At 44.4% G+C, this 20,847-nt stretch overlaps 1 protein-coding gene across 7 annotated transcripts in view, besides 1 other annotated feature; it reads left to right on the top strand.

Moving 5' to 3' along the window:
- Positions 1-20,847, top strand: part of DIP2C (disco interacting protein 2 homolog C) — a 415,468-nt gene that overhangs the window by 268,841 nt on the left and 125,780 nt on the right. For all 7 annotated transcript variants that reach the window (NM_014974.3, XM_005252427.5, XM_005252426.4 and 4 more), the window contains 4 exons: positions 1,629-1,763; positions 4,940-5,059; positions 6,718-6,915; positions 11,811-11,902. In NM_014974.3, the coding sequence (NP_055789.1) occupies positions 1,629-1,763; positions 4,940-5,059; positions 6,718-6,915; positions 11,811-11,902 (545 nt within the window). The remainder of the gene's footprint in view (positions 1-1,628; positions 1,764-4,939; positions 5,060-6,717; positions 6,916-11,810; positions 11,903-20,847) is intronic.
- Positions 4,107-5,306: an enhancer, noted in NCBI's record as "CDK7 strongly-dependent group 2 enhancer chr10:461462-462661 (GRCh37/hg19 assembly coordinates)". NCBI's record gives its function as "activates an origin of replication core promoter dependent on BRD2, BRD4, P300/CBP, MED14 and CDK7 cofactors, with strong dependence on CDK7, by STARR-seq in HCT116 cells {active_cell/tissue: HCT116}" and the evidence as "EXISTENCE:reporter gene assay evidence [ECO:0000049][PMID:35650434]".

Below are 20,847 nucleotides of genomic sequence, written 5' to 3'. Positions count from 1 at the left end.
GAAAAGCCCAGGGCTGCAGACTCAGGTCACGGAGTCTCTCAGAGCTGGCCACGCTTCTACTTGCTGTTGAAGCAAAATCTCAAGTCCTTTGTGGATTTTTTCCACCAATTTAATTATGCCGGCAATTAAGTAGGGACATCTCACATGTATCTTAAGAGTCAAGCCAATTTGGCATAAGATAGGAAATCCCATTCTAGTTTTCTTTTTCCACTGCTCTACCCGCTGTCCATCTACAAGCTGTGTCCAGCGTTTTCACACCTCGGAGCTGAGAGGAGGCCTCCCAGACGCTACCATCCAAGTCCGCTGAGGACTTGAGGGGGTGTGTGTTGGTTCTGCAGGAAGTCGGGCCTGCCTGCCTCCAGGTGGAATGTCGTGGCACTGACGGGCGGTGTGGCGGGCCCTCCCCTTAGTTCTTGTCTTTTCAGTCACGGGTTCCCAGTGAACGGCATTGCCGAATCTACTTGTGACACCGGACTGACACCGTCAGGAGGGGCCGACGCCGTGTCCAGGCAGCTCGGCACCGCCCACCCGGCCCGATTCTCAGATCACAAAGCAGCGTCCTGTCACGGCCTCTTCTGTGCCTCGATCTTCTGTGTCCTGTTTTTGTGCGTTCAGTTGATTTCGCCGTCTAGACGGCCTCCGGGCACGGTGCGGACATGGGCAGCGTCCGGTGAAGAGAGGCTTTTGGGGATGAGCCCCACTTTCAGCGACACAAAGTACCGCCCTTCTGTTGCGTGGGACAGTGGCGGGGTGATCCTGAAAAGCTTCCATCAGAGGAGGATTCAGGATCGCGATCCGCATCGTGGCGCCCGTCATCAAGATTCTGGGTGTGACGGGCGTCATCAGTGGGCTGCTTGGCACATCTTCCTCAATGCGTTATTCATTAAATAGAAAAGCATGCTTTTCCCCATTCAGCCACGTACGGCTTAACTTTATCTCCAGGGGGTGCTGTAAGAGAAAGAGCTCCACGCGCTCATTGGCCTTACACGATCCTTAGTACACATTAGGGTGTAACGTGGTTTTTTGAATGACTGTTGTTGTTTGTACTAAGAGAAATAATAAAATAATAGTTCTTGATGTCTCCCCCTTTTATGAAGAAGATCCTATGAACTGTATACGTGTTAACTCACATAATCCACCCAACTACCCTACACGGTCATGGCCATTACTGTTCCCATTTGACGAAGAAACTGAGGCACGGAGAGCTTAAGGGACATCCCAAAATCCCCAGAAGTTTCCAGAGCCGGGTTTCCAATTCCAGGCCTTTGGCTGCGTCGACTGTGGCAGACAGGAAACAGGACCCCTCCGTGAACACACACAGGGTTCCTGACGCCCTGCCATTGCCAGTCTAACGTTATTCTAGTTAAAATGCTGCTGACATGGCTCCCGTTAGGAAATTACGTCTGAGGTTTTACCGAACTCTGCTCCATTTGCGGCAACATGAGTTATGCTGGGGTCCCCCTTTGTGCTGGATGTGTGTGGCAGATGCGGCTGAGATCGGCTCTGGCTTTCCATGGCACACCCAGGGTGAGCACCTGTGCTTCAGTCTCTTCCTGGGCTGTGGCTTGTTCCACCTTCAGAGCAAACATCACAACCACCAGAAAATCTCATGATGTGTTTCTTTACAGAAAATCATTCTGCACCTCCTGACGTAACCACGTACACCTCAGAGCACTCGATACAGGTGGAGAGACCGCAGGGTTCCACGGGGTCCCGGACAGCGCCCAAGTACGGCAACGCCGAGCTCATGGAGACCGGGGATGGTACGTCCCAAAGGAGAGATGCGTTTTTTTCTGGTAAACGGTTTGTGCTGACGTCCCGTTCCGTGCCCATGACTGGATGTGTTTCTTCCTGGGGTACAATCGGTTCTGACAAAGCCAATTTATCAGATCTTCGGGAGCCTCTCATGGAAGGTGGCCTAGCCACAAAAATGCAAATATTCTCCAAGTGAGCCCACAGTTATTCCTTGTAGGAAAAATGTAAATGTTGTAGGAATTTAGTCATGAGAAGAAAAAGAAATTTTAGAATTTGCTGCCGTTTTTGCTGCTGAATAACGGTGGTTCAGCAACTGAGAAATTCTTGTACAGGTGTGTTAAGACCATGAACAGTCACTTAGAAGAGCAAGATGAAGTTAAATGTACAACAGAATTACTGTCAGATGGGCTGATATGTTGCTTTAGACTTTGGAGGAAAGAGGGTCTTTTTATCCACGTTGGACAGAGATATCGGTGACTTGGTAACAGGCTGTGGCCGAGGGCTTCTTCCTTCCTTCTTTGTGGCCCAGTCTTGGTATATTCTGACTACAGCGGCTGTTCGTGTCACTCAGCCCCTATTCCATTTAGGTCTCAGTCCTTCCCGAGGTCATAAAAGTCAGGGTAGAACCTAGCGGTGAAATACAATGCCCTTGTGTGAAGCTGCATGGAGCAGCCTTGGTATGCTGTCATCTTGCGGTGCACGGGACTCACAGGCGGACAGGGAGGCCTATCAGAGCCCCGACAGGCACAGTGGACAGGGAGGCCTATCCGAGCTCCGACAGGTGGACGGGGATGCCTATCTGAGGCCTGACAGGTGCAGTGAACAGGGAGGCCTATCGAAGCCCTGACAGGAACAGGTGGACAGGGAGGCCTGTCCGCGCCCTGACAGGTGCAGGTGGACAGGGAGGCCTGTCCGAGCTCTGACAGGTGCAGGTGGACAGGGAGGCCTATCCGAGCTCCGACAGGTGGACGGGGATGCCTATCTGAGGCCTGACAGGTGCAGTGAACAGGGAGGCCTATCGAAGCCCTGACAGGAACAGGTGGACAGGGAGGCCTGTCCGCGCCCTGACAGGTGCAGGTGGACAGGGAGGCCTATCCGAGCCCTGACAGGTGCAGGTGGACAGGGAGGCCTATCGAAGCCCTGACAGGAACAGGTGGACAGGGAGGCCTATCCGAGCCCTGACAGGTGCAGGTGGACAGGGAGGCCTGTCCGAGCTCTGACAGGTGCAGGTGGACAGGGAGGCCTGTCCGCGCCCTGACAGGAACAGGTGGACAGGGAGGCCTATCCGAGCCCTGACAGGTGCAGGTGGACAGGGATGCCTATCCGAGCCCTGACAGGCGCAGGCAGACAGGGAGGCCTATTTGAGCCGACAGGCACAGGCGGACAGGGAGGCCTATCCGAGCCCTGACAGGAACAGGTGGACAGGGAGGCCTATCCGAGCCCTGACAGGCGCAGGCAGACAGGGATGCCTATCCTAGCTCCAACAGGCGCACTGCCACATCCTCACGTGAGGCAGAGCCCAACTGTGCCTTCGTAAGTGTCCAGTTAGTGCGCTTGAAATCGCCCTGATTGCCAGTGCGATGACTTTTCCTGGAATGCCTTTTGGTGTCATTATTTGCTTTAGTTCTCTGATGAGTTCGTCTTTACTAAATTGGCCATTTTTGTTATTCTTGTCATTTTAGTAACTTTGTCGTCTTTCAAGTCTGTACCTTTGCCTTTGTTCCCCAGGTAAATCCTGCGTGGTGTGTTGTGCTGTCTCGGCGTGTCATAGCCTCCCACACCAGAATCCCACAGGGGCCCTTGCTGGGAGGGTGATTCTGGGTCACACCCCAGACGTCATGAGCTAGAAGTTCGGGGGTCCCTGAGGCAATTCTGACATCTGCCAAATTAAGCTTGAGAATCGTTGGCCTGGTGGAATGGTATGATTCATCTGAACCAAATTAGTTGGGCTATTTAATGGGAACATACTATGTGTGGATATTGAGAGTTCTGGATTGTGTGTTTTTCTGTATTTTCAGAGATATGAAATATTTAATGTCTCAATTCTTAAAGTGCTATAGAGCATTTTGAGACTACCTATTAAAAAATCTTGATAGAAAAAATTTCCTTGAATTCTGTTCTATTCCCCGCAAATGTTGAAGTCTGTTTTTTATGGTCCAGTGCGGGGGCGAACAAGGGCTCTGCCTCAGGTGAGGGGAATGGACTGCCAGCTGCACCTACAGAGACCCCTGCACCGTCCAAGCCCACAGCTCTGGGTGATGGTTTCCCAGGTCCTGCCGGCCTGCAGCGTGTGCCTGAGGAGGACGCTTTTGATCTAGTTGTGGCATCAGCGTCTTGGTCCTCTGTCTTGTTCATTTGATTTATTTATCTTAAAATTTGAAAACCTTGACTCTTTCATTGATCAAACCAGTTGATTTTCAGAATGGTGCAGCATTCATTATAATTAGCACAGTATTTTAAAATGGGGCTTTTCTCGGTCCACTTGGATAGGTAGGGGCTAGTATTCTGTTACACAAAAATTTGAATTTAGAGACTTTAACTTCTGTGCTTTAGGATGCATTGCCTGTGTGTGGGCTGAGCTGCGTGGGTTTGGAACGCGTGTGAGGAGCTCAGTCTTTATTAGGAGTGGACAGGGCTTGGGCGTGGTGGTGCTGAAACCTGAGCCCGGGGCTGTGGGATGCTGGGGGTTCCAGACGTGACTCAGCGGCCCGATGTTCTCGTGCCTCCATGAGGCTGAATGCTGGTGTGAGGCTGAATGCTGGTGGTCTCTGGAGAGATAGACGCAGGGAAGGACTTACTGCTCCACGGATGGTCTCACCCTGTTGAGAAGAGGGGGCCTGGGGCAGTGGGAATGAGGAGTCTGCCCTCTGCAGGTGACAATTCTGTCCTGAGAATCAGAGCTGGGGTCAAGCAGGTGTGGCCCTGAGGCTCCTCCCAGCATGACCAGCAGAACAGCACATCCTGGAACGTGGTAGACATTCGGGTCCGATGTATCTCTGTCCGGTCTCCTGCCTAGCCACGGGGCTACCGTACAGCATGATCACCTCGGGCCCTTCCCAGGATCGCATCTAGGATGCAGCCTGTTGTAGCCGCGCTGGGGAGGGGGCTGTGGGACTGTGGGACTGTGGGTGCTCATTGAAGCTGTGATGATCGCTTTCCCCACCCGCTGATTCCTGTTTTTCAGGAGTACCAGTAAGTAGCCGGGTGTCAGCAAAAATCCAGCAGCTTGTCAATACCCTCAAACGACCGAAACGACCACCTTTACGAGAATTCTTTGTCGATGACTTTGAAGAATTATTAGAAGGTGAGAGAACTCTTTACCACACGTTTCTTCCAGATGCTCCTATGGTCCCGTAAACAATGATATTTTTTTCTGCAAGGCTATTTTACTTTTTAAGAGCAGTAATCGTGGCATTTGCCGCATGATGGGAACCCAGGTAGGGAGCGGGTGATGTTCCCAGGCAGCCTTGGTGTCGGCAGGTCTCTAAACCTGGTTGTTAGTCGTCCTCTGTGGGAGTTGATTTTGTTCTGTGACCCAGGTCAGGTCTCTCTCTAAGAACTCTGTAAGAGTATAGAAATACAAGTAAAGTATAAACATGTAGAAAAACAAGTAAACTGGGGAAATCCTTCGCTGGCAGCAAAACTGGCGTGTGAAGTGCTGTCTCCTCCCTCCTCCTGCTGCCTCTCCTTATAGGTGCCGGAGCTGCTGCCTTTGCCCCTGAATGCTCCTGGGTCTTTTTAGACAAACAACTTAAAGTTGAAATAAAGCACAAGAACTGCTCATTGTAGCAAACTTGAGCTCCTTAGTATCTTATGTGTTAAACCACAAGTAGAAACGACTGATTTTGTCAGTCATAAAGTGACAGACAAGTCTGTTCCAGAAATGGAAGAGATAATTTCCATTCTTCACCTCTCTCAAGGATTGGGCAGGTGGTATTTATGATGCACTGATTTTAGTTTTACTCAGGAAAATACTCACTCCGTGTTCCTGTTATTCAGAGTACTTGTAGCAGATTTAAATGTACAGCTCAGGCCAGGTGCGGTGGCTCATGCCTATAATTCCAGCACTGTTGGAGGTCAAAGTAGGCAGATCACTTGAGCCTGGGAGTTCGAGACCAGCCTGGGCAATATGGCAAAACCCTGTCTCTACCAAAAAAAAAAAAAAATATATATATATATATACACACACACACACACACACACACACACACACACACACAAATATATATGTGTGTGTATATATATATTGCCCAAACCTGTCTCTACAAAATATATATACATTTTATATATATATACACATTATATATATACACATTATATATATATATATGTACACACACACACACACACACACACACACACACATACATACACACTCTAAAATTAGCTGGGCGTGGTGGTGCATGCCTGTAGTCCTAGCTACAGGCTAGGACTGTAGCAGAGGCTGAAGTGGGAGGATAACCTGAGCCTGGGAGGTCGAGGCTGCAGGGAACTGTGATCATGCCACTGCACTCCAGCCAAGGCAAAAGAGAGAGACCCTGCCTCAGAAAATATATTTATCATTAATCTTTCAGGACAAAATATAATTTAGCAAGATTTAAGCAATTTGGGGTCCAAAATCACTAGCTGATGTTGGTAATGGAAATTTCAGCATGGCTGTTTGAATTCCAGCCTCTGGGCACAGTGTGCAGCGCAGTTTCCACCTGTTATCAGTTTGCAGCTGTGTGCAGGTCCACCTAAGCGCTCTACCCACATGCTGCCTTGGAAATTACAAGAACTAATTTTTTACCAGCATCCGTGATGCTAGTGTATAGACCCCAATTCTAGAAAAGCATGCTTTTCTGTCAGCTAATAAATGTACAGCTTAAGTATAAATCTCTTGGCTTCTTTATAAAGAATAAAAAGTAGCCATGCTAATGTGGATGCATTTCTCTTGTAACCTCTTGTATTCAAACGATTTAGTTCAACAACCGGATCCGAACCAACCAAAGCCGGAGGGGGCCCAGATGCTGGCCATGCGCGGAGAGCAGCTGGGCGTGGTCACGAACTGGCCGCCGTCGCTGGAGGCCGCACTGCAGAGGTGGGGCACCATCTCGCCCAAGGCGCCCTGCCTGACCACCATGGACACCAACGGGAAGCCCCTCTACATCCTCACTTACGGTAATCCCCAGGCTCACTCTCTGCCCTTTGCCCACCCCCTCGCACAGCCACTCCCGAACGCAGGAAACTCAGTGTCCGTTTACATCCTCACTTAAGGTAATCCCGAGGCTAACCCTCTGCCCTTTGCCCACGCCCTCGCGCAGCCACTCCCGAACGCACGAAGCTCAGTGTCTGTTTAAATCCTCACTTAAGGTAATCCGGAGGTTTACCCTCTGCCCTTTGCCCACCCCCTCGCGCAGCCACTCCCAAACACACAAAGCTCAGTGTCTGTTACTTCTGGTGACTGATTGATTTTGTGCTGCCTTATGTTTCCGCACAGAAATAAATGGAATCTCAAGAAACTCTTTAGGAAAACTATTTGATTTCAATATAAAAAGTTATTTGTTAAATATTTTTTGAGTTAAAACCAGAAATGGCTGCTTGAAGCAGTGACCATAGCTCTAATAAGATGTTAGATCTTAAATACATGTGTGATTTATTGAAATGCATGCTTTCAGCAAAGATTGGTAGTTAGAAAAAATGTCTATCTAAACTTTCTGGTATGTATCACTCAGAAAAATCAAAATCGGTTTCCAAGGGACTTTTTCAGAAGGCCAGAGAAACCGCCTTTCCCTTAAGTCTTCAGTACAATTAATACAGTCTGTAAGCTTTTTGCACATGGTTAACGGTAGCAGAGAAGTGCGTTTCTCTTTTTTCTGTGGATAAGAGGCCATGGAGGGGCAGATTGTCAGGCTATTTTCTGTCTGCTTCAGCTTTACAAAGAAAGTAGTAACTAAAAGGCTGGCATGATGGCTCATGCCTGTAGTCCCAGCTGCTTGGGAGCTGAGGCAGGAGGAGGAGGTCGAGGCTGCATTGAGCTATGATTGTGTCACAGCACTCCAGCCTCAGTGACAGAGCAAGACCCCATCTCTAAAAAATTAATCAGTTAGAATTTTCAAAAGATACGAAAATAACTGAAGGACCAAAATGGTTCATATTGTGTCTGCATGTCTGAGATTTATGTTGATAGCTGAAATTTTAAACATAGCTGTTTCAGTTCTAGACTCTTGGGATAGTACAGTACATAGTTCCGCCTGTTGTCAGTTGGCAGGTTTTGTTTTTAACTTTAGCTTTTGTTGTTACAACACTTTTCTGATTGCAGGTAGGAAAGGAATTGATTTCTACATTAGCCATGGAGGTCAAAAGCCAGATGCTATGTTGAACCGTGGAACCTCAGACCCTAGCCTTTCAGGGTGGGGCTCTGGGAGGCAGCAGCTGTCAACCTGTGCATCTCAGGACAGATGTGGGATTTGGGCCTAGGAGCATATTGGGTTTGGGAGCGTGCGTTTCGTAGCCCCTTTGCTTTTATGGCTTCATTGAGTAGTTTTAAATGGACAGTGTGTGGCATCCATGATGAAGCATAAACTTTATTTTTTTAATTATGCTCTCAGAAATAGGTTTTATTGAGTCAAAAGCATGAAAGACTTTTCTATGTGACCCTCATCTCCGGCCAAATTCAGCCCTGGAGCTAATTGTGTACTTGGAGTCGCTGCTGCATGACAGCTGATGGCCTCTGAGGCCTCCCCGCCTACATGCGGGGAATTCCAGGAGCAGCCGAACTGTTCGGGTGCATGTGTTCACTCTGAGAACTAATAGACGTTCACTTGGGTGTTTTAAGCATGCAGTATGCATTGGCACAGAACTAAGCTTTGGGAAATCAAAGACAATAAGACACAGTTCTCACGGGGCTTCTGATGTCGATCAGAAGGATCGCCACTCTCTGCTGCTGGAACTTTGAACAGGGTTGGTGTCTTTCCCCTTCCTGCAAGGTTAAGATGAATGGGAGACGTAAGACACAGACTGAATATTCATATGAAAAGTTGGATTCTTCAGAACTCATGCCCACAACCAAAGCATTTTAACTCCTTTATATGTTGTATTTTAATCATCTATATGTTGTATTTTAATTATCCATTTTAATTGCAGGCTGTGGGTTGATCTTGGTTTTTACTTGTTAAAGGAATGTAAGAAAGCAACACATTTCCAAATTTAAGATTACAGCTTATCAGATGAAAACGCAGTGAACACTGGAAAGCGCCATCTGCGTAGAAACGCTAACGTAGATGAACGCATGACTGGGTGTTGCTACGATGAGTCAGAAACAAGCTCGTCGAATGAGAATTGTTCTAATACTGAGTGATTTGGTATCGAATGAGAATTGTTCTAATACTGAGTAATTTGGTATCGAATGAGAATTGTTCAAATACTGAGTAATTTGGTATCGAATGAGAATTGTTCTAATACTGAGTAATTTGGTATCGAATGAGAATTGTTCTAATACTGAGTAACTTGGTGTAACTGAAGGGGCTGTATTCTCTAAAGTCCTGCCGTTTCCCCTCAACCCCCAAATTTAGCTTCCTACGAAGCGCTGGGGTAGCAGAATTCCCAGCGGATAAACTTGGGATCAGTAACAGAAAGTGTAGGTGGCTAATGAAAGCCACAACTGAATAAACTTGTAAAACATCATTCTGTTTTCCACTTTAGACTACCCGTGGCATTTCATAATCTTAATAAAAATAAGTCACGCTGTGCTGTTAATTTCCCTTCACGTCCTGCCTCACAGCAGCTCTCTGGTACGCTCTTCCTCTGCCTCCTCTGTGGATTTCTGGAGAGACCTATACGTTCATCTGGCTTTCCTACCAAGGAGATGCTCATGCTCATCTCCCTTTTAACGTTTTATTTATGGTTTTCCTTTTACTCCAGATGTTTCAAGAAATCTACATGCTTGAGCTAGCAGCACGCTGGGCCACCTTTCTGTGGCCTTGCTGCTTTTTTGCGTGGTTGATGGTGTCTCTCTCAAGCTCCCGCCTCCTTCCCGGGCTTGCTCCGGTTCAGCCCTTCGCCACCCACCGCCTCTCCCCTCACCAGTTACACTCTGTTCAGTTGCCTGTTCCTCAGTCAAAGCCAAGCGAAATTACAATTAATATCTAATACAATAGTGCTGACATCACACACATCTCCTTTATGAATCAGTTAAGAACTGCTGTATCTTTATATCAGCAGCTTAACTTCCTGCCTTTTCTCTTTGAGAAGTATAAAAATACCAAATATATTTCAAGAATTTTTCCAAAAGTTTGCATGTGTTTTATCAAACTCTCTATTGTTAACTAGCTTGTGTATGAACTTAGGATGTCAAGACTCTTAGCTGAGAATGAAGTTGAAACTTTCACAAACTAGAATGGTGCTAATTGAGTGTAATTGATTTATTCAGTTACAACACATTGTTTTTCTTTCAGTTGCAAAGAATTGATTGTAATTGTTTTACCCAACTATAATAGTTCCCTAATCTTGTTCACATTAAAGAAATCTGAAGCCACAAAATAATTGTTTTTGTTGGGGAAAAAATACTCCCTGAATTATATCTAATGAGCCAGTGATCTTTTCCAGGAAAATAAAATCCCCTAATAGAATTCCAGATGACTGTAAAGCTGCCCGTCTTGAAGACTGCCTATGGTGTTGAGGATGAGGAGCTAAGGAAGACAGGAGGAGGGAACATGAATAAATGTGTGTCTAGCAATTAAGTGCTCAAGAATATGCTAGAATGCACACCGTAACTTTGTATTTTATTACAGCTTGCCTGCGACATCAGTAAAATGAAGAAACATTTGCTGAGCACGTAGTATGACCGGGAAGTGTCCTAGGAACCAGAACAATCAAAGATAATCATTCTCTTCACGTTCTCATTAGCAAGGGGATAAATACTGTGGTAGATAAATAATAATAACACTAATCTAAGGAACTCTCATTCTGATATGAAATTAATTCAGGGTGTTTTAATTTGCACTGTGTTGTAAACGACAAAATCTGATTTAGTGTTTGGATTTAAAAGAGGGAAAAGATTAAAACAGTGATGGTACTGAAATAGAAAACAGTTAAGATAGCTGTTACCTTTATTACACTATTACAGCATTATCACGTCTTCTAACACCTTGACTACTGAGACGCTCTGGCAGCTGAAGCCTCTGAGACTAGGTTGTAAAAGGCCATTGTGTATTTAAGAACTCATTTTAGGCTTTAAAGTCATTGTTATTTGATCTCAGACTGTTACATTTACCATTATCTTTATCTGAATCCAAGGATTGTGATTAAAAACCCTAAAACCCTGAGGTTAGGAAAGTTTGAAGGTGAGAAACACAGGGCTTGTGAGTTTGGAGCCTCTCGAGGCAGTTTTCTGCTCTGTGTTGCTCACATTCACGTGAGACCGGCTGTGGATGAGGGACGTCACCGGGAGTGACTTTGTGGCAGTGACACCGTTGCGGTGGCCCCAGAGGACTTTCCTCCCTACAACCTTCCCCGCGGTTTCTGTGCTGACCTTGCTGCAGGCACTTCATGCACTAAGAGGGGATTTGTTTTGTGCCGGCCTTGTTCCAGTGTCCAGGCAGCTCTGACTGTTGGAGTCATTGCTTTTACTCCTCTTGACTCCAGGGACTCAGGATGAGTTTGAAGCTTTGATCTGCTAGGAGAAGGTTCTCAGGGCCCTCCCGCTCCCTGATGGTGTCATTTCAGCTGGGCAGATCCCAGCCCTGTGACGACGGTGTGTGCACTGTCCGCGCCCCCCCTCGCCACCCCCACATCACAGACAGATCAGAAGACAGGCCAACACTTGGTTTTAGCTTTTTTATTTTCATTCTCTCTCCTGAAGTTTTGTCTTTAGAATCCCTGATGCTTTTCTACTTTCACTCATTTTCCATTCTTGCCTACCAGTTCCCCCTTTGCTCAGCTGCCCCCACTTCAAGTCGCTTGCAGACCATGATACGCAGGAAGCAGAATGGACTCATGTCCTAGACTTTGACTTGCAGAAGCTGTGCTCTCCGTATGGTTTAATACGCACATTTGTCTGTGATTTGTATTCATAGGCAAGCTGTGGACAAGAAGTATGAAGGTCGCTTACAGCATTCTACACAAATTAGGCACAAAGCAGGAACCCATGGTCCGGCCTGGAGATAGGGTAAGTGCAACTTAAACTGCTGGATCTACAAAACACAAGAGTCCTGTGGGAAAAGGTGCCCACTGTTTAAACATTACAGAGTTCAGCGCCACCTCCACTTTCTATTGGAAAGCAAGTTTTTATTCTTAACTGCTACCTGGTAAGTTACACAGGACAGATACTATTAATGGTGTCTCCATTCTAACATTACATCCTGAGCAGGTAATGGTCTTGTCCATGCTTTATGCCCCAGTTTAGATGTGGAGCTTGGTATAGAAGCTGGTTTTCTTGCATTTATGTGTAGAGCCTTTTTACCTATGTGCTTTAGATGCCCCCAAGATTAGGTTATCCTACCTAAAGGACTCCAAGTGAATTACATAAAGACATCATTTAGAGCTCCATAAACCAACAAGAGCATGAGCTTTGATTACTTAAGCAATACTATAAAGGCATGAGTCTGCTGTGGGCATGTTCAACAGATTGCAGCAGCTCCAGGAGACCGTGGCCTGGGATTCTTTCCCATTTTTTATTGAACACGTTTGGCCTCTTTTAAAAGTAAATTGTAGGTGTCATATTTCCTGATCGTAAAATTTACTACAAAGCTTATAATAATCACAACAATGTGGTACTGGCTTAGAGACAGACACATACACCAGTGGAACAGAATAAAGGGCCCAGAGATAAACCCTCATGTATATGGATAAGTGATTTCCACAGGTGCCAAGATACTCAACGGGGAAAGGACAGCCTTTCCAACACACAGTGCTGGGAAAACTGGACATCCACCTGCAAGAGAATGAAGGCGGATGTTTACCTAACATCATATGCAAAAAATTCATTCAAAATGGACCAAACGCCTAAATGTAAGAGCTAAAGCCAAAACCTAGAAGAAAACATAAAGAAAATGCCTTAGAAGAAAATATAGAGAAGACACCTCATGACCCTGGATTTGGCAACAGTTTCTTGGATGTGGCACCCGAACCACAGGCAACAAAAGGAAAATAAATAAATTGGACATTTACATTAAACATGTTTGTATATCAAAGAGTACTATCAAGAGAGTGAAAAGGCCACCTACAGAATGGGAGAAAATGCAAATTATTTGCCAACAGAGATTAATATCTAAAATATTTAAAGAATTCCTACAAGTCACCACCACCAAAAAAAGCAACAACAACAAAAACGTTTAAATGGGCCAGAGACTTGAGTAAACGTTTCTCCAAAGATTTAGCAGTGGCCGATAAACACATGAAAAGATGCTCAGCATCCTTGATCAGGGAAAAGCAAAGCAAAACCTCAGTGAAATGCTGCTTTACACCGAGAAGCACGGCAATTACTAAACTACTGAAAAGGGCACGTGTTGGCAAGGATGTGGGGAAGTCGGAACCCTTGCGCATTGCTGGTGACAGTGTAAAATGGTGCAGCCTCTCCGAAAAACGTGACAGTCCCTCAAAGAATTAAACATGGAATTACTGTGTGATCCAGCAGTTCTGCTTCGGGGTGTGTACCCAAAAGGATTGAAAACAGAGTCTAGGAGAGAGATGAGTACACTCAGGCTCATAGCAGCCGACTCACACAACCAAATGGTGGAAGCAACCCCAAATCCACGGACTAGATGTGGATTTCCCATTAGAAGGGAGGAAGTTCTGACACATAACACATGGATGAACCTTGCAGATACTATGCCTAGTAAAGTAAGCCAGACACAAAACAGGTATTGCGTGATTCCGTTCCTGCGAGCGTAACTACCCAACAGTTCACCTTGCCCGCTGCCTGGCCAGAGCCGATTTGTCTAGACGGGGATTGCAATGGAGAAAGTGATTCACGCAGAGCTGGCTGTGCGGGAGACTGGAGTTCTATTATTTCTCAAATCGGTCTCCCCAAGTGTTTGAGGATCGTTCAGAGTTTTTAAGGATAACTTGGCGGGTGAGGGCTTGGGAAGTGGGGAGTGCTGATTGGTCAGGTTGGAGATGGGATCGTAGGGGGTCGAACTGAGTTTTTCCTGCTGTCTTCTGTTCCTGGGTGGGTTCGCAGAACTGGTTGAGCCAGATGACCTGTCTGGGTGGTGTCAGCTGCTCCATCCAGTGCAGGGTCTGCAGAATACCTCCAGCACTGATCTTAGGTTTTATGATAGTGATGTTATCCCCAGGAGCAATCTGGGGAGATTCAGACTGTTGGAGCCAGAGGCTGCATGACCCCTTTAGGGTCATGCAGTAATTTCTAATCTTGTAGCTAATTTGTTAGTCCTACAAAGGCAGACTGGTCCCCAAGCAAGAAAGGGGTAATTTCGGGAAAGGGCTATTACCAGTTTTGTTTCAGAGTCAAACTATGAACTGAATTCCTTCCCAAGGTTAGTTTGTTCTCCACCCAGGATTGAACAAGGGACAGCTTAAAGGTTAGAAGCAAGATGGAGTTGGTTAGGTCTGATCCCTTTCAGTGTCATAATTTCCTCAGTTATCATTTTCACAAGAGTGGTTTCATGACATCCCTAGAGTAGTCCAGCTGTAGAGAAACAAAAGCAGAAAGGTTAGGTGCCAGGGACTGGGGGAGAGGAATGCAAAGTTCGTGTTTAATAGGGACAGAGTTTCCATTTGGGAAGATGAGAAAGTTCTAGAGATGGCTGGTGGTGGCAGTTGTATAACCTTGTGATTGTGCTTCATGCTACTGAATTCTACGTGTAAAAATTGTTAGAATCGTAAATTTTGTGTTACCACATAATGAAACGTTAATTGTAATGGAATAGCTCCTTTATCTGTAATGTGGTTTGTAGTCTTAAGAGTTGTTTTAAAAATTCTTTCATAGTATGGCCTCCAGATACTTGAAGTTTCCATATGATAATAATCACAAAATAAACTCCTGTGTTCCTCTAAGATGTCAGTAGAGATACGGGAGCACGGTTTGATGAAATATGTAAAGAGGCTTATTTTGGGCAGGGATTGGTTTGGCTTGGTTGGGTCAGGGGTGAAGGCGCTACTTTTCTAAAATTTTTCTGAGGAAAGATTATCTGAGAAGGGCTCTCGAGGAGAAAAGATGAGCCGGTAGCTCTTGGGCGGGTTCCAGGAAGTAGCGTGGAAGGTGCTGAAGCCTTTCGCCTGGACAGCAGGGCCGGCTGTGTGAGGAGCCCTGGAGGGGAGCTGGGAATCCTTCAGCCGGAAAGGCCTTTGCTCCCCTGAAGAGTTGAGTGTGCGTCTCCTGATCGGCTGATGCCTGCTGTGTGAATAATTAGGTACAGTGAAGTATCAAAGAAGTACACAGAGGATTGAACGGAGGGAAGCCATGTGGGTTTACAAAAATCGAGCGTCTTTGTATTTGTCCAGTATTGTATTGGGATCACTATGGAGGTAGCAATACAACAGGATTTGTGACTGATTCAAATACTGAAGGAATGCCTAACAAAAATGATGTAAGTACAACGTTCTCTTCCTTAAAACAAATTGCAAAAAAATTTTCAGTTTTGATGCTAAAAGAGCCTTTAAGTATTTTACCCTTTTCTATCCATTACTTGTATTGTTGTGTGTGTACAATAATGTACAATTTTATATTCTGCTTTTATTAACTTTGTTATACCACATTTCAGTACAACTCTGCAGTGGTCTATAATATGAAATTTTCAGCATTAACTCTAGTGATAAATCAGTGAGAATTTTAAACCCCTGATAAAGAAGAACTTCCTTTGAGCAGAGGCAACAGGAGCTGGGAGAGGAGGCAGACACGAGGTGCTTCTCGGGAGAGGGCTGATCGCCGTCTGGCCGTGGGGATGACACGCATCCTCTCCGTCTCAGCTGTCTGCCCTTGGTGAAGACTCTGCCTCCAGAGCTGGTATTCTGGGAAGATTAACAAGTCAGAACTGAACATGTTCTCATGAATGGGTGCAACCATCAGTTTTGGATGGAACTTCAACATCTGAATTTTCTAACGTTTCCTGGTGTTTTTTGGTCCGCCTTAGGGGAAGAAGTTGTACAGCAGTGGTAATGTGGAAATCTTACAAACATTTAACTGAATACTGTTTGTTCACCATATCAAGATCTGAAAAACATGCCATCAGCTCTCAGTCCGTCACATGACACTCATGCCTAGTGTAAACCTCGGATAGTTTGAAGAAATAATTGGTTGTGGCTTATCCGCATAGATGTACAAATAATTTTATTCCCTTTCTAATCTCTCTTAGCAAATTGTAGTGGACTATAGAAATTCCATACAGAAAGGAAATATTCATATATTCATAGAATCTACAACTTAATTTTGTGTCTGCCAGTGATCCTGCATTCCGACCTTTCCAGCATGGCCTGCTCCCCTCTCAATGACCATCTGGATGCTTTTATGTCAGCCTGCTTACTTAGATACACAGATGATTAGGATGTTTGTCTAAAACTGTTCGTGATGAAATTACTTCCAGTTAGGACATTTTTCATAAAAAATTGTTTAACTTCAAGAATGAGGCCTGGTGCGGTGACTCATGCCTGGAATCCCAGCACTTCGAGAGGCTGAGGTGGGCAGATGACTAGGTCAAGAGATTGAGACCAGCCTGGCCAACATGGTGAAACCCTGTATCTACAAAAAATAGAAAAAAATTGGCTGAGTGTGGTGGTGCATGCCTATAGTCCTAGCTATTCGGGAGGCTGAGGCAAGAGAATCGCTTGAACCGGGGAAGCAGAGGTTGCAGTGAGCCGAGATTGCACTACTGTACTCCAGCCTGGGTGACACAACAAGACTCTGTCTCAAAAAAAAAAAAAAAATCCAGAATGAAGTAATGCAAAAATGATGCACATGTGCTAAATCATAGGATTCACGTGCTGATGAACACATACCAAACTTGTCCATAAGGAAGAGTAATGCTAATGCTACCACACATGTAAAATCATAGGATTCATGTGCTGATGAAAATGTACCAAACTTGTCCATAAGGAAGAGTAATGCTAATGCTACCACACATGTAAAATCATAGGATTCATGTGCTGAGGAACACATACCAAACTTGTCCATAAGGAAGAGTAATGCTAATGCCACCACACGTGTAAAATCACAGGATTCATGTGCTGAGGAACACATACCAAACTTGTCCATAAGGAAGAGTAATGCTAATGCCACCACACGTGTAAAATCACAGGATTCATGTGCTGATGAAAACGTACCAAACTTGTCCATAAGGAAGAGTAATGCTAATACTACCACACATGTAGAATCACAGGATTCATGGGCTGATGAAAATGTACCAAACTTGTCCATAAGGAAGAGTAATGCTAATGCTACCACACGTGTAAAATCACAGGATTCATGTGCTGATGAACACATACCAAACTTGTCCATAAGGAAGAGTAATGCTAATGCTACCACACATGTAAAATCACAGGATTCATGTGCTGATGAACACATACCAAACTTGTCCATAAGGAAGAGTAATGCTAATGCTACCACACGTGTAAAATCACAGGATTCATGTGCTGATGAAAACGTACCAAACTTGTCCATAAGGAAGAGTAATGCTAATGCTACCACACATGTAAAATCACAGGATTCATGTGCTGATGAACACATACCAAACTTGTCCATAAGGAAGAGTAATGCTAATGCTACCACACATGTAAAATCACAGGATTCATGTGCTGAGGAACACATACCAAACTTGTCCATAAGGAAGAGTAATGCTAATGCTACCACACATGTAAAATCATAGGATTCATGTGCTGAACACATACCAAACTTGTCCATAAGGAAGAGTAATGCTAATGCTACCACTCATGTAAAATCATAGGATTCATGTGCTGATGAAAATGTACCAAACTTGTCCATAAGGAAGAGTAATGCTAATGCTACCACACATGTAAAATCACAGGATTCATGTGCTGAGGAACACATACCAAACTTGTCCATAAGGAAGAGTAATGCTAATGCTACCACATGTGTAAAATCACAGGATTCATGTGCTGATGAAAATGTACCAAACTTGTCCATAAGGAAGAGTAATGCTAATGCTACCACACATGTAAAATCACAGGATTCATGTGCTGATGAAAATGTACCAAACTTGTCCATAAGGAAGAGTAATGCTAATGCTACCACACATGTAAAATCACAGGATTCATGTGCTGATGAACACATACCAAACTTGTCCATAAGGAAGAGTAATGCTAATGCTACCACACATGTAAAATCACAGGATTCATGTGCTGAGGAACACATACCAAACTTGTCCATAAGGAAGAGTAATGCTAATGCTACCACACATGTAAAATCATAGGATTCATGTGCTGATGAACACATACCAAACTTGTCCATAAGGAAGAGTAATGCTAATGCTACCACTCATGTAAAATCATAGGATTCATGTGCTGATGAAAATGTACCAAACTTGTCCATAAGGAAGAGTAATGCTAATGCTACCACACATGTAAAATCACAGGATTCATGTGCTGAGGAACACATACCAAACTTGTCCATAAGGAAGAGTAATGCTAATGCTACCACACGTGTAAAATCACAGGATTCATGTGCTGATGAACACATACCAAACTTGTCCATAAGGAAGAGTAATGCTAATGCTACCACACGTGTAAAATCACAGGATTCATGTGCTGATGAAAACGTACCAAACTTGTCCATAAGGAAGAGTAATGCTAATGCTACCACACATGTAAAATCACATGATTCATGTGCTGATGAACACATACCAAACTTGTCCATAAGGAAGAGTAATGCTAATGCTACCACACGTGTAAAATCACAGGATTCATGTGCTGATGAAAATGTACCAAACTTGTCCATAAGGAAGAGTAATGCTAATGCTACCACACATGTAAAATCACAGGATTCATGTGCTGATGAAAACGTACCAAACTTGTCCATAAGGAAGAGTAATGCTAATGCTACCACACATGTAAAATCACAGGATTCATGTGCTGATGAACACATACCAAACTTGTCCATAAGGAAGAGTAATGCTAATGCTACCACACATGTAAAATCACAGGATTTATGTGCTGAGGAACACATACCAAACTTGTCCATAAGGAAGAGTAACGCTAATGCTACCACACGTGTAAAATCACAGGATTCATGTGCTGATGAAAATGTACCAAACTTGTCCATAAGGAAGAGTAATGCTAATGCTGCCACACGTGTAAAATCATAGGATTCATGTGCTGATGAAAATGTACCAAACTTGTCCATAAGGAAGAGTAATGCTAATGCTGCCACACGTGTAAAATCACAGGATTCATGTGCTGAGGAACACATACCAAACTTGTCCATAAGGAAGAGTAATGCTAATGCTACCACACATGTAAAATCATAGGATTCATGTGCTGATGAAAATGTACCAAACTTGTCCATAAGGAAGAGTAATGCTAATGCTACCACACATGTAAAATAGGATTCATGTGCTGATGAAAATGTACCAAACTTGTCCATAAGGAAGAGTAATGCTAATGCTACCACACATGTAAAATCACAGGATTCATGTGCTGATGAACACATACGAAACTTGTCCATAAGGAATAGTAACGCTAATGCTACCACACATGTAAAATCACAGGATTCATGTGCTGATGAAAATGTACGAAACTTGTCCATAAGGAAGAGTAATGCTAATGCTACCACACATGTAAAATCATAGGATTCATGTGCTGATGAACACATACCAAACTTGTCCGTAAGGAAGAGTAATGCTAATGCTACCCCACATGTAAAATCATAGGATTCATGGGCTGATGAAAATGTACCAAACTTGTCCATAAGGAAGAGTAATGCTAATGCTACCACACATGTAAAATCACAGGATTCATGTGCTGATGAACACATACCAAACTTGTCCATAAGGAAGAGTAATGCTAATGCTACCACACGTGTAAAATCACAGGATTCATGTGCTGATGAACACATACCAAACTTGTCCATAAGGAAGAGTAATGCTAATGCTACCACACGTGTAAAATCACAGGATTCATGTGCTGATGAACACATACCAAACTTGTCCATAAGGAAGAGTAATGCTAATGCTGCCACACGTGTAAAATCATAGGATTCATGTACTGATGAAAATGTACCAAACTTGTCCATAAGGAAGAGTAATGCTAATGCTGCCACACGTGTAAAATCACAGGATTCATGTGGTGAGGAACACATACCAAACTTGTTCATAAGGAAGAGTAATGCTAATGCTACCACACGTGTAAAATCACAGGATTACCAAACTTGTCCATAAAGAAGAGTAATGCTAATGCTACCACACGTGTAAAATCACAGGATTCATGTGCTGATGAACACATACCAAACTTGTCCATAAGGAAGAGTAATGCTAATGCTACCCCACATGTAAAATCACAGGATTCATGTGCTGATGAACACGTACCAAACTTGTCCATAAGGAAGAGTAATGCTAATGCTACCACACGTGTAAAATCACAGGATTCATGTGCTGATGAAAATGTACCAAACTTGTCCAGAAGGAAGAGTAACGCTAATGCTACCCCACATGTACAAGTAACCTGTGTTAAAATAGAAGCAGAGTTCACAGGGCTTAGTGGGAATCCAGAAATAGGGTTGTCTATTAACACTCTATCATCGAAGGAAAATTGTTCTTCGTCAAGATACACCATACTGTTAAGGACCATCAGAAAACATACTGGCCAGGCAACAGTGGCTCACATCTGTAATCCCAACACTTTGCGGGGACCAAGGCAGGAGAATCGCTTGAGGCCAGGAGTTTGAGGCCAGCCTGGGCAACATAACGAGACCCCATCTAAAGATATTTTTTAAAAATTAGCTGCATGCAGTAGTGCTCACCTGTAAGGCAGGAGGATCACTGGAGCCCAGGAGTTCAAGGCTGCAGTGAGCTATGATTGTGCCACTGCACTCCAGCCTGGGTAATAGAGTGAACTTGTTTCTTTAGAAAAAAAATCATAATATCTATTAGTAGGTACCAATATTACTTGGTAATTTACATTAACCACACTTTTAGAACTCTGATA

This window comes from Homo sapiens, chromosome 10 (assembly GCF_000001405.40).
Source record: "Homo sapiens chromosome 10, GRCh38.p14 Primary Assembly".
In the NCBI taxonomy this organism is placed as follows: Eukaryota; Metazoa; Chordata; class Mammalia; order Primates; family Hominidae; genus Homo; species Homo sapiens.
This window is presented reverse-complemented; position numbering and strand designations above follow the sequence as displayed.